The 14,319-nt window shown below is 37.7% G+C and overlaps 1 protein-coding gene across 17 annotated transcripts in view; it reads right to left on the bottom strand.

The window, feature by feature from the left end:
- BTAF1 (B-TFIID TATA-box binding protein associated factor 1) overlaps nt 1-14,319 on the bottom strand; it is a 107,668-nt gene that overhangs the window by 92,132 nt on the left and 1,217 nt on the right. For 14 of the 17 annotated variants that reach the window (NR_165102.1, NR_165094.1, NR_165091.1 and 11 more), the window contains exon 2: nt 3,526-3,649. Coding sequence is in view for 3 of the 17 variants with exons in the window: in NM_003972.3 (NP_003963.1) it covers nt 3,526-3,649 (124 nt within the window). In the remaining 14 variants the exon portion in view is untranslated. Of the gene's footprint in view, nt 1-3,525; nt 3,650-7,785; nt 7,925-14,319 lie in introns of all 17 variants that reach the window. The other 3 variants (NR_165093.1, NR_165097.1, NR_165099.1) reach the window with 2 other exon arrangements.

Raw genomic sequence — 14,319 nt, 5'->3', positions numbered from 1 at the left:
TGGTTGTAAGATATAAGATCAATACACAAAATCAATTGTATTTCCACACATTAAACAATCTGAAAATGAAATTAAGAAAACCATGCCATTTACAGTAGCATCAGAATGTAGAAAATACTTAAGAATAAATTTATCAGAAGCAGTGTATGACTTGTACAATGAAAGCTAAAAAACACTAAAAATATTGTTGAAGAAATTAAAGATCTAAATAGACACCTTGTGTTCATGGATTCAAAGACTTCAGATTGTTACAACAGTAATATACTATAAATTAATCAAGAGATTCAACACAATTCCTATCAAAATCCCCCCCCCCTTTTTTTTTTTTTTGCAGAAATGGAAAAGCTGATCCTAAAATGTATATGCAAATGCAAGGGACTCAGAATTACCAAAGCAATCTTGAAAAAAAAATTTAGTAGACTCACACTTTTTTTATTTTTATTTTTTAGAGATGGGGTCTCAGTGTTACCCAGACTGAAATGCAGTGTCTTAGTCACAGGTGCAATCATAGCACACTGCAGCCTCAAACTCCTGCCCTCAGACAATTCTCCTGTCTCAGTCTCTTGAGTAGCTGTGCCTATGGGCATGTACCACCATACTTGGCAACATACACTTCTTGACTTCAAAACTTTCTACAAAGCAACAGTAATCAAGACAGTGTGGTACTGGCAAAATGATAGACATACGAATCAGTGGCACAGAATTAAGAGTTCATAAATAACCTGTGTCTATGGTCAACTGATTTTCAACAAAGGTGTTGAGACAATTCAATGGAGAAATAATAGTCTTTTCAACAAACGGTGGTGGGATAACTGGAAAGCCACATGTAAAAGAATGATGTTGAACACCCAGCTCATTAACATACACAAAAATTAACTAAAAAACTGACCACAGAACCCAAAAGTAAGAGCTAAAACTATAAAACTCTTAGAGGAGAACTTAGGGGTAAATCTTTGTCACCTTGGATTAGGCAATGGTTTCTTAGATATGACACCAAAAGCAGAAGTGATGTTCAAGAAAGTAAAAAGACAGCTCATAGAAGAGTATATTTCCAAATCAAATATCTATTTCCTAATCATATACCTTTGTATAGTTTGGATACCTTGTATATGAAGAACTATACCATATGAAGAACTTTCGCAACTCATAATAAAATGATAACCCAATTTTAAAATGGGCAAGGGATCTGAGTAGACATTTCTCCAAAGAAGATATACAAATGTATTGCTTCTCTGCTTTTTGGCTAAGATCAAGTGAAGACATACAAATGAATAATAAATACATATGCCTGATATCATTAGTCATCAGGGAAATGCAAATCAAACCCCTTCATATCCAGCAGGATGGCTATAATCAAAGTCAGTCAAGAAGTATTGACAAGGATGTGGACAATCTAAGTTCTCATACACTACTGTTGAAAACGTAAATAATGGGACCATTTTGGAAAATAGTTTGGCAGTTCCTCATAAAGTTACCATATGGTACAGTAATTCTACTCTCAGGTATATATATACTCTGGAGAATGGAAAAAAAACCTCCAAAATTTTGTACACAAATTTTCATAGCAGCATTTTTCATAATACAGTAGCCAAAAAGTGAAAACAACCCAAATATTCATCAACCAAAAAATCAGTAAGATGTACACATGTATATCCACACAATGGAATATTATTTGGCAATAAGAATGAATATACATGCTACAATATAAAAACATTATTTTGAGCAAAAGAAATCGATCACAATAGATTACAATTCATTTTATATAAAATGTTCAGGATAGGCAAATCTTCCTATAAAGTTAGTTTAGTGGTTGTCGAGGATCTGGGCATGAGTGAAGGAGTATTGAAGAGTGACTGCTAGTAGGTATGAGGTTTCTTTTTGTGGTGATAAAATGTTTTAAAATTAGAGTACGGTGATGGCTGCTGTACACCATGTTAATATACTAAATACCACTAAATTGAAACTCATGGTATGTAAATTATATTTTAATAAAGCTGTTTAAGAAACAAAACCGGCCAGGAGCGGTGGTTCACGCCTGCAATCCCAGCACTTTGGGAGGCCAAGGTGGGAGGATCACGAGGTCCAGAGATCAAGACCATCCTAGCCAACATGGTGAAACCCCCTCTCCACTAAAAATACAAAAATTAGCTGGGCATGGTGGTGCACGCCTGTAGTCTCAGCTACTCGGGAGGCTAAGGCAGGAGAATCGCCTGAACCCAGGAGGCAGAGGTTGCAGTAAGCCGAGATCGCGCCACTGCACTCCAGCCTGAGACTGTCTCAAAAAAAAAAAAAAGAAAACAAAACCAATGGGCAACAGGAAAACGCTGACAGCCGAGGAAAAAGGAAAGACGGTGAGACAGTGCTAAAGGCAAACTTCGCCTCTTTGGGAATGATTTGATGGTAGCCAATATGCTGAGGTCTGAGTGAAGAAGACCAGAACTCACTGGGAAGGCTGGAAAACTTTTCTCAGTTCAGCACAGATGAGGCCTGTTCATTGTTTCACAGTTTCAGGTCATTCAGTCCTCCATTTCTTCCCCTGGGCTAAGGAGAAGAAAGGTGTTGCCTCTCTCTGTCACCAACTTACACACGAATACTGCCTAATATGCATCCTTCTTCATTCTAAGAACGTGGAGCCTGTAGGTATCAAATCACTGTCTCTCCATCTACATCCTAGTTAGAAAGTTCTGATAATATCTAAGTGGGAATTATGTTGGAAAGAGAGTCACTGTTAGTCCTTGTGGTAGCAACCACACAGTACAGATGTGTATGCTGAGAAAGGGCTTAGAACTCCCACTCATACTCAACAGAGATGGGCAGATGAGAATGAAAAAAGGGGGTCAAACTGAAAAGAGAGAGAGATCCTGAGGCTCCCTATATCTGGGCAATCATATTGCTCCCCTACCCTATCCTGTATCTACCTCCCCAACTCCCCTCCTCCTATACAAAGCACTCCTGCTTTACTCTGCACATCAGGAAATTAAATGTGTAGAATTTGCCACTTATTACCATACAGGTACACTTCAATACGCATACAGAGTTTAGTAAAAATACAGCAGTTGCTTAAGGGAAGAAAATGGACTAGGATTATGAAAACACTGATACACCAAAGCAGAAAGCCTCCATTTTCAAACAGCTGATAACTTAGAATGTAACAAGACTCCAGCTTCTCATGTATTTCAATCATTGCCCATGAGTACTCATCCATTTGAAGACTACCAACTATGATATAATTATTAGTCATTAAGAACAAGTTAGACTACTAACAAACCAGATAAACAACTTAGTTTATTACCAAACTGGGACAGATTCAAATTTGTGCCACAGGCAAAACGATCTATACTCAAATCCCTTAAGCTACTAAACTTGATTAAAAAAAAAAAAAGTTTAAGTCTTGTGACCAGAAAAAAAAAAGAAATAGCAAAAATGTTTAAAAATTAAGATGATGTTTACCTTTATTTTTGTGTTCCTATCCATGAATAAGTCTCTACAATTGTATTATGCTAAAAGAAAAAAAAAAGTTCTTACTTTAGACAGGAGATTATTTAGTTCATGGGGATGAAGCTTCACCACTTCTCCAAGTTGCTGTGCAGCAGCTTTTCTTGTAACAGGAGTAGTGCCAGTATCCAGTAAAATAAAAAGGCGATCTAGCCTGAAATAACAAAAATACAATGGTTATTCTCAAATGCTTTTCCTCGTATGTACAAGTTTAAGTCAATAAACGTACTGAGCAGATGCTATGAATGAAGACCTACGCTAACATAAATGAGCCCCGGAAAGACATTATGGTGAAATAAGCCAGACACAGAAAGATAAATGCCGCATATTCTCACTCATAAATGGAAGCTAAAAAGTCGATCTCAGAGAAGTCAAGAGTAGAATAAGTGGTTACTAGCAGCTGGGAAGGGTAGGAAAAGCAAGAGGGATGGGGGAGGCTGGTTAACCGTCTATTTACAGCTAAATAGAAGAAACAAGTTCTAGTGTTCTGTGGCACTGCAGAGTGACTAAACAACAATTTACCGTATATTTTCAAATAGCCAGAAGAGAGGCATTTTGAATGTTCCCAACACAAAGAAATGATAAATGTTTAAGGTGAATAATATGCTAATATGATCATTACATTGTATATGTGTATGAAAATATCACACTACTCCCATAATAATGTACATTTATCTGTCAATTAAAATAATACTTTTTCTAAAATTGCAAAAATAAAAATAAAAGTGACCTATGCTAGGACTACAAGAGATGCCTAATCTCTACTCTTAAGGAACTTGCTACTGGGGTTGAAGGGAGCAGGTAAGTCAAGTACAATAAGATACATGGCAGGAAAAAAAGTACAAAGTGCTTTGAGGATTATGAAAGAAAGGAGCGAATATTATATCCCCAACTATGTAATACTGAAAAGGCTTCATAAAATAAATGGTGTATGAGATGGATCTTAGTGGTAGAAAATAATTTTAACACTGGTGGAGATTAGGTGGTGAAAGGGAAAGGGGAAGAAATACCCGGAAGAAGGAAAACAAGAACACAACAATAAGAGAAGGGAGAGTATATTTAGGGAAATGAATAACAGTTTGGTTGCAATTCAGGGTACACTTAAGAGAAGAGTGGGAGATACAGCTACAGAAGTAGCTGGAACCCTACCGTGGAGACCTTTTAATGAACTTGCAACCATGAAGGTCTTGGGTCAAGAAACTAATGGAACTGAAACTATGCTTTAGGAAGATTAATCTGGCAGCAGTGTGATACATGAAGTAAAATGGGAGGAAACTCAGCTGGGCGTGGTCATGTCTGTAATCCCAGCACTTTGGGAGGTGGAGGTGGGAGGATCACTTGAGGTCAGGAGTTCGAGACCAGCCTGGCCATCATGGTTAAACCCCATCTCTACTAAAAATACAAAAATCAGCCAGGTGTAGTGGCATCCACCTGTAGTCCCGGCTACTAGGGAGGCTGAGGCAGGATAATTGCTTCTGAATCCGGGAGGCAGAGGTTGTAATGAGCTGAGATTGTACCACTGCACTCCAGCTTGGGTGACAGAGTGAGACTGTGTCTTAAAAAAAAAAAATTAAATCAAAATAGATTAAAGTCTTAAATCTAAGACCTCAAACTATGAAGCTAGTCATACAAAGAGAGTAATACAACACAGTTAATTTCTAATGACATTCTAAAATTAATTTACTTTACACATACACTATACACAGACATATCCAATCTTTTGACACCATATTTCTCCTTCCTCATTCAAGGCTATCTAAACACTTGCCTTTACCCATTCATTCACTGGCTTTTGCTATAGGATTGGTGAACAGTCAGTCAGACAGATAGTAGGACCAAGAAAGGGGAAAAAATGGTTTCTTGACCTACTTTTGTCTTGATACCATCCCCCTTCTATCCTTATTCAATCATCCTTTCTCCAATATCTCAAATCAGTGTTACTAATCCATTCCCTTCTTCCAATATGCAGAGCTCTCTCTCTACTGAGAAAATAAACTGCTTGATCTCCACTCTCTAGAACACTTTAACTGCCAAGCATCTTGAACAAGTGTTTAAAATATTATTTCCTCATCATACACAATTTAATCCATATAAATCAAGGTTCCATCTTTCTACACCAAAATACCACACCTGAAGGTCACCAATGAACTCTTAGGCTCCAAATCCAATAGTTTTTTACAAGGTCAATTTTTCTTGACTCTTCTTTGACAGCTGCGACCAGCAAGCACCCCATTCTTACAATACTTTCCTTCCTAAGTTGCACATTATATTACCCTGTTCTCCAAACTCTTCTTTCCTTAGTTCTCCTATTCTTAATACTCTTAATATGAATATCGGGAGAATACTCATATTCAATCCTTGACTGCTCAACTCTCATCAGTTTCTCCCTGAGGAAACTGTATACTGTTATTTGTTTAAATTATATCCAGAACAAATATTCCCCAAATCCAGGCCATCTGAGAGTGCCAGTTTCACACTCCCAACTGCCTTGTCATCCTGTTGCCAGATTAACTTCCTAAAACGCCCCCGAATAAATCACTACCTTACTTTAAAACTTTCAATGGCTCACACTTACCTACCAGAAAGTAATCCAAAACAAAAAGTATCTCCCAAATGTGGGTATTTTTGGTTTCCACAATTTTACCTATACTGTTTCCTCCACTCAGAATGTCTCTCACACCCCTTCAAGCTAGGGTTACAGTGGCTCACCCCTCCTCAAGGGGGTGGTTTCCTGGCCAGTTTCTGCCAGATCCCCAGAATGGTCACTGGTTGGGGTTGCAGTGGGTATGTACTCTGCCTCACTGCAACAGCAGGCAGCTGTGCAGATATAATGGCCCCATGTGTGAGACTGGGAACTGTTGGTGGGAGGCACAGCTGAGAATATGGGTATATCACCTGGAATTTAACCAGATACACCACTAGAGGTGATCTTCGGGTGTGCCTGAGCTTGCTTCTCTAACAAGAGAATAAAATGTGCTACAGCAAACAAATAAAGTATTTTTCTCTTTGTTCAACTGTTCAGCTAGCTCCCATCCAACAGGATTCAGCTGAAGTTCTTCACCTTCTTGAAACCATTTCAAACTACTATGCAACAGAGATTACTTCCTTTTCTGAAATCCACATGAATTCTCATCTTGAACAGCTACTTAAGTATTTATTATATTTTTTTGTGGCATCTCTCACATTAATTTGTCACATGAGGTCTAATTTTCCTCATTAGGCTTCATCTCCTTCAATCATTCTTTTTGTCTCGCACAACACTTTGCACAGTATTCAAATATTTGTTATGTAGTTGACATTTACTGTAACTAAAACTATACTTAAGGAAAAGTTCAAGTTTCTTGGGGACAAGTTTAAGAACCAACTTTAAGGAAAGAAAAAATATTTTATATTACCTTTTTTTTTCCTGCTTCCTTTGAGAAACATCCTTAATCTGTGACAGCAGTTTTACATAAAAAATCAGTTGGTAATGTAATGTTTCAGTAACTGAAAAGATCAGCACAGCAGTACTTCAGCCTTCTGAATGAGGCAGTTACGCTTGTCCCAAATAGCAAGCTGAAAAATGCCATGCAATAGGCACTGTATTCCTTCAATAATTTCCATCCTTCTTAAACTTTTCCTTTGGTCCTCTGCTACCCAGCTTCACTTAGAACTCCTGCCCAAAGACCTTAGACTCCTCTCTAACCTAATTGCTGATACTGTCCCACAGACACACAGTTCCTCTTGATTCTCCTTTTTGCAGATCCTTTTATCCCAATGCTATGTCAGGTCACCTCTGCTCTCCCACCAGCCAAATGCCCTGAGGGTAGCAGATCAGCTCATTCTCTCATCCATTCCAAGCCTGTTTATCCTTACTTCTTCCACTTTGGATGGTAACCAAAATTGCCTCCCTGAATAGAGGAATGGAGACACAAGAATGCTTCTTTGATTCTCTTGATTTAAAGCCACTTTCGTAGTTCTCCATTCCTCTCTTCAGGACAGCAGATTGGACACCACATAAAAGGAAGAACAAAGAGATGAGCAGACAAAGATCTGACAAGAGGGCAGTCTGACCTGTTATCTCAGGATAGCCAGCTATGAGGCAAGCAGGGTAAGCATCAGGGCCAGGCCACGGTGGAAAAGGCTGGTACAGTGAACTTGTGGGGAAGAGGAAAAGAACGTGAGACAGAGTCAGTATTATGTTGGAGGGTAGACAGGGCCCTTGGTGAGGGAGAGGTCTGAAGGAAGCTAGATGGTCAGAAGAGAAGGGAAAGTTAAAAGGAGGGCTGACTGAGGGAACACAGTACTTACTCCCATACTACTTTTGGCTAAAACTTCTGTTGCACACAGCTAGCAGGAAAAAGTAACATTCTTCATTCTCTGAAGGATAGACAGACAGATGGAGGAGACACAGGTAACAGATGTCAAGTTGCATGGAAGGTACCAAAGACTATAGAAGATAAGTAAAACATAAGAAAATTATATTTTGTAATATCCACTGGTTATAAATTTATTGAGAATAAGAAATCTGGCCCATTTTCAATCTGGATGTCAATTCCGAGAATTAGCTAAACAAGATATGATTCATGTAACCTGTGATTTCAGGCAACTGTTCTAAAGACTGCCTAGAAAAAGGAAAGAGTACATAGTAGTAGAGGTTATGCTAGCAGTTGCAATCTAACCCCTCTCCTCTCCAGATGTTTGCATTATGTTAATTCATAACAGTAAAGCCATAAAAATAAACAGAAAGAAATGTCATGCATTTTAAACAATAAAACATGTCCTAGATTACTACGTCATAGTTAATAAACAAATACATACTGTATTTCCACTCTAAAACATCTCGGGAGGGGAGGGGCAAAAAGCCTCACTGATATTTTCAAAATATATTTAACCTCTCTGATAAATTAGGAAAGGTCAACTGACAGAATACCTCAAAAAGACAGCTTTGTGGCCTTAACTAAAAAAGCATGACCAGTCAAGAGTAGCCATTTAGTTATACATTTTTTACACGTGGCAAAAGTACAGTAAAATTTTAAATATAGATGATTTGAATGTTTACTTTTCTGTGTTACTCAGGAAGTAAGGAAAGATAATGACCATTACTTAGTATAGTGTACAGTGTGTACTTAATACGTGGAACTTAGTACAGTGCACATATTATCATTAAGGTCAAAAGAAACAACTTCCAACAAATTCTCTAGTGTTTTTAAACATATACTTTCTAGGTCATGTTGTGGGTAATTTGAAACTATGTTAATGTTATGTTGTTTTAAACATAAAGATATCACACAGAACACTAAGAATCAATATGAAGGTGTGAAACCATACCAAAGCCAGGTGTAAGGGCAGGTGCTTGCTAGATAAGTTACCCCACTCTACCCTGGACCATAAACTCCATGAGAATGGAGAGTACAGTTTTTTTCTCTGCTATACCTCTAGCACCTATAACATAGAAAGCACTCAGTAAATATTGGTTAAATGAAGAATGGTGAAAATGTACAACCAAGCTATGCTATTTCCTTCAAGACATTTTTTTCTACCCTCCATCCCTGATCGAACAACCTATAGCCTCTTGCATGACTTTATCTTAATGACAAAACATAGTACATACTAATCTAGGTTCTTTAGCAGCAGTATGGGTGGTTTTAAAACTTCTTATTAATACATATTATGTATTAATATGTAAAATTCATAATACATTTTAAAGTGTATTTTTAAATGGTTAGAACAGTCTATTTTTATGTGTGTCACAATTAAAAAATTTTTAAAATAATAATTCAAACTAGTACCTTGAGAAATACGCCAAAGAAATAAGGAGGAATTTACCATTGGGATTGAAATGGAAAAGCTTTGATTAATGCCTCTTCTACTTTTTCTAGTTTATCTCTAAATTTTTAAAGTATGAGATATTTGATGAATTATAATTTACAATAGTTCCTTCTGTCATCTTATAATGGATTGAAATTAACAATAAGGGCCAGGTGAGGTGGCTCATGCTTGTAATCCCAGCATTTGGGAGGCCAATGCGGGAGGAATGCTTGAGGCAAGAGTTTAAGACCACCCTGGCCAACACAGAGAGACCTCATCTCTATTAAAAAAAAATTATTAAAAATAAATTAACAGGGAGGAATAGGCCTGGAAAACCTGTGTTGTCCTTTATTGGTAATTAAGGTAGTTTTTTCTACATTAACATTTTCCTGTCCAGGACCCACTGAACGTCCCCTACATCAAGAAACTTCCTTTTATTTGACAGAATAGGCCTGTTGAAACAATGTTGCTCTGAAGTATCAACAGTGCAAAGAGAAAATTAACAAAATTGAGCAAAGGTCTGCTATATGTAGCAATTTGTTTCTTCCACAAGAGGATGTGTTTTTGTTTTTTCTGAACCCTTTCTGAACACTGTAACATTTTCAAATGCAAAGATATGTGAGAAATCTAAGGTATGGCTTTTAAAACAGTCATATTATAAGTACTGTCTAGACATTTTAGACATGACCTTTACAGCACAGATCGCTGAGGGAAAACTATATATTTCTGAAACTTTCTCTAGCTGATTAAGGAAAAACTATGTTCCTATTAACTAGCCAATATACAATGATCAGTTCCATTAATTGTGGCATAAACAGGCAAAGGTAGCAAAAACAAGCTGTTTAAAAAATTGTATTAAGTCATGGTTCCCAACACAGCTACAGATTCCCCACCAATGAATAAACCTAAACCAGGCGCAGTGGCTCACACCAGTAATCCCAGCACTTTAGGGGCAAAGCCACGTGGATCACTGGAGCCCAGGAGTTTGCAACCAGCCTGGGCAACATGATGAAACCCCACTTCTACAAAATATACAAAAAAAATTAGCCAGGCATGGTGGTATGCATCTGTGGTCCTAGCAACTGGGGAGGCTGAGGTGGGAGGATCACTTGAGGCCGTGATTGTGCCACTGCACTCCAGCTTTCCAGCTTGGAGGACAGAGTGAGACTCTGCCTCCAAAAACAAACAAACAAACAAACAACAAAAATGCCAAAGAAATCCATCTCAGGTTGCTTTTTTTGGGGGGCGGGGGGGGGGGGGATGGATTCTTGCTCTGTTGCCCAGGCTGGAGTGCAGTGCTGCGATCGCAAAGGTTGCTTTTACCGTTGGTGGCAAAATCCCAACTAAGTAACACATGATAATGAGAAAAAGCCCCATAAAGCAAAATAATGGTGTTCAAAAATATAACACTTATTATTTAAATTATTCACAAGAAACACTGAAAGCCTGTAACATACACTAATTTGTTTTTTGCTGAGGTTGACTTTGTGGAAGCAAGTCAAGTAGCTAGTGAATGACTAGCTGACTTTCCGGCATCCGCATCTTAAGGACAACATTGTTCTCTACTCCTACATTTGGATTTTGGGTCTTTTACTAAGGGTTTAAAAGAGTCATATCATTTTCCAGTGATATTTCACTGGATTTGACAGAGAACTTCAAATGCTATGATTGTATTTACAATTTTAGAGAGTAACAAAGTTATTTTTGCAAGATGTAATTCAGCTACAGATCAAGAGTTGGCCATGCATTTCATAATCTGCCACATTCTTACAACTGAAAGTACAGTAAAACCAAGCCTATTAAGCAGGGTCTAAAAAATTTGACCACATAAAATACATCATATCAATTTTGCATTATAAATGGCCATGCTATCACAGAATTTACTATATTATAAACTTCAAAAATTATTCTAATTGCCTTCCTATAGGAGATAGCTTTAAAAAGAAAAAAATATTCCGATGATTGTTAAAATTAGAAAATGGCCAATATTAAAAAGCTATAGTGAAAGTTTTCCTTACTGCAAAAAAAAAAAAAAAAAAAGAAAAAAGGCAGTTAAACTCAAAAGTACTCACTGAAAAACACTGGAAATAGTCTACTATGCACAAATTACGGTAAAATCATACTCCTACAAATGTAGGAGTAGAGAACAATGTTGTCCCTAAGATGCGGATGCTGGAAAGTCAGCTAGTCATTCACTAGTTACTTGACTTGCTTCCACAAAGTCAACCTCAGCAAAAAACAAATTAGTATATGTTACAGGCTTTCAGTGTTTCTTGTGAATAATTTAAATAATAATTGTTATATCTTTGAATACCATTATTTTGCTTTATGAGGCAACTCATATGGCAACTCAAAAGGTACCAAAGCAAGAAGCAAAATCATTCATTCATTTTTTTTTTAAATGTACTGAACACCCACTAGGAGCCAGGCATTCTGAGCATGGAAAAATCAAAGACACATTTCCTTCTCTCAGAGTTTATGTTAATCCAGCAAGTAAGAGAACAATTAACCAATTACAAAATATAAATATTATGACTGATAGGAATATGTATTGGTGCAAATAGCTCAGATGAAGTAAAACCAGAGAAAATGTCCTGAACAAGGTAATATATAAGCTTAGATCAAAAAATTGAGGCAGGTGGATCGCCTGAAGTCAGGAGTTCGAGGCCAGCCTGACCAACATGGAGAAACCCCATCTCTACTAAAAATACAAAATTAGCCGGGTGTGGTGGTGCATGCCTGTAATCCCAGCTACTCGGGAGGCTGAGGCAGGAGAATCGTTTGAACCCGGGAGGTGGAGGTTATGGTGAGTCAAGAACGCACCATTGCACTCCAGCGTGGGCAACAAGAGCAAAACTCTGTCTCAAAAAAAAAAAAAATCAAACAAAAAAACACACTAAGGTCAGAACTAGCCATACCTGAGATGGGGCTAAGAAGTGTTCCAAAGATAAACAGTAGGGGGTAACAAAATGAATTCTGGGGAGGGTGGAGGATAGAAGAGAGAAGAAGGTGAAGGGGAAGTACAGAGAAGTTGACACAAGATGAATCTAAAAAGATGACACAGGAACCAGATCACAAAGGACTTGGTAAGATATGTTTGTTTGAGAATGTGGACTTTATCCTAAGGCAATAGGAAACAACTAAAGGTATTAATTAGAAAGATTACCATGTTCATGTTCAAATCTTCAAATCAGTAAATAATATGACTGAAGCGAAGAACAGATTGAAATGAGATGCCATGGAAGGCAGGAAAAGGAGAGAGGCTCCTGTCTTGTACTAAACATGTCCAAATACCAAATACATTGATACATAAACTTACTATGAGACTTATCAGGTGATACAATGTTCAAGGAGATGAGTACTTCCTTTCCTAGGGTTGAGTGTGTATTTTCAAAAGATTGGATGTAGCTTTACAGTGACAAAAGGGAAGCGTCTCTCTAAAGGTGTCTTGGACTAGAGATGGTGGCATGTTCTAGGATTGTGGTAACTGGTATAGAAAGAAAAATGATCAGCTGGAGAAAGATTAGAAAGGCAGAATATACAGGATTGGATTTGGTAACTGGCTGGACATGGGGTGTGGGAGGAAAAGGGAAGTCAAAGAACATTCTCAAATTTCTTGACCAGACAATTGAGGGAATAATGGTACTAACTTACTATTTCCCATCTGTTGGAAATTCTGGTGGAAATGTCCTAAAAATATTACAGTTTCTCTTCAGTTATGCATATGAAATAAACAGTGCAAAAAATATTTTAGATTTGATTTTAGCATATGATTTTTATCTCCTGGGCTATTTTCCACCTATTTTACGTAAAATAGTATTAAAATGAGTCTGCACCAACAGGAGAGAAAGGAAGTTTAGTTAGCACAGAACTGTGCTTCGTGCATGGAGAAGGCCAGCTTGAAACTAAAATTTGCCATTCAAAGAAATCCACAGGTGAAAAAGTCAAGAATTGACACTATCCCCAAAACACACAAGTGTCTCAAAATGTTTTCCTTGGGCTTACTACTGAGCCCAAGGAAACTAAGCACAGAAATAGCTCTTCCATAAAAACATGACAGGCTTTTAAAAAAGTGAACGAGAAAAAAATCCACAGAAAAAGAGTGCTACTCTTTGAAACACAACATCCAGAACAAAAGACAGTACCTTCAAAACCCACTCAGTCATTGAGAAATATTAACTGTCCTAAAATTCCGTAAAGAGATTAGTGTTGGCTGGGCGCGGTGGCTCACGCCTGTAATCCCAGCACTTTGGGAGGCCAAGGCCGGCGGATCACGAGGTAAGGAGATCGAGACCATCCTGGCTAACACGGTGAAACCCGTCTCTACTAAAAATACAAAAAACTAGCCAGGTGTGGTGGCGGGTGCCTGTGGTCCCAGCTACTTGGGAGGCTGAGGCAGGAGGATGGCCTGAACCCGGGATGCGGAGCTTGCAGTGAGCCGAGATCTCGCCACTGCACTCCAGCCTGGGCTACAGAGCCAGATTCCTTCTCAAAAAAAAAAAAAGAGATTAGCGTTGCCCGAAAATTAGGTTCTTTTTAAACACTTTCATTTTGTCTTTATAAAGCTACATCCAATCCTGTGAAAATGCACAGGTTGCTCTAAGAAAAGAAGTACTCATCTCCTTAAACACTATTACCTGATAAATGTTATATTAAGTTTACATATCAATGCATTTACAATGTATATATTCATGCATTTATATGGGAGGTAACAAATTAGAAGATACACCTTTCTATATTTGCAAAAATGTAAAATGTCACTTGTATTCTCTCAAGGCAGTTTTATTTAAAAAAAAATTTCCTCACATTGAATAGATTATAAAATAAAAATCAGATGCCCCATACTACGGTACCTAGCAACCCCCTTCACCCAACTCCCATGGGCTTCTCCCACACACTATTTCATCAGTCATCTAGGGAGTCTGTAAGGAATGGGTTATCCTTTCCCTTGCAAAACAGATAAAACTTGTGCACTTAATACGCTCAAAGAATGTGTTCAGTTAATTATAAAAAAATGAAAACTATTTGTTTTCA

The sequence above is a fragment of the Homo sapiens genome, chromosome 10 (assembly GCF_000001405.40).
Source record: "Homo sapiens chromosome 10, GRCh38.p14 Primary Assembly".
NCBI lineage: Eukaryota > Metazoa > Chordata > Mammalia > Primates > Hominidae > Homo > Homo sapiens.
Note: the sequence above shows the minus strand (reverse complement) of the source record. Positions and strands in the feature narration are given on the sequence as shown.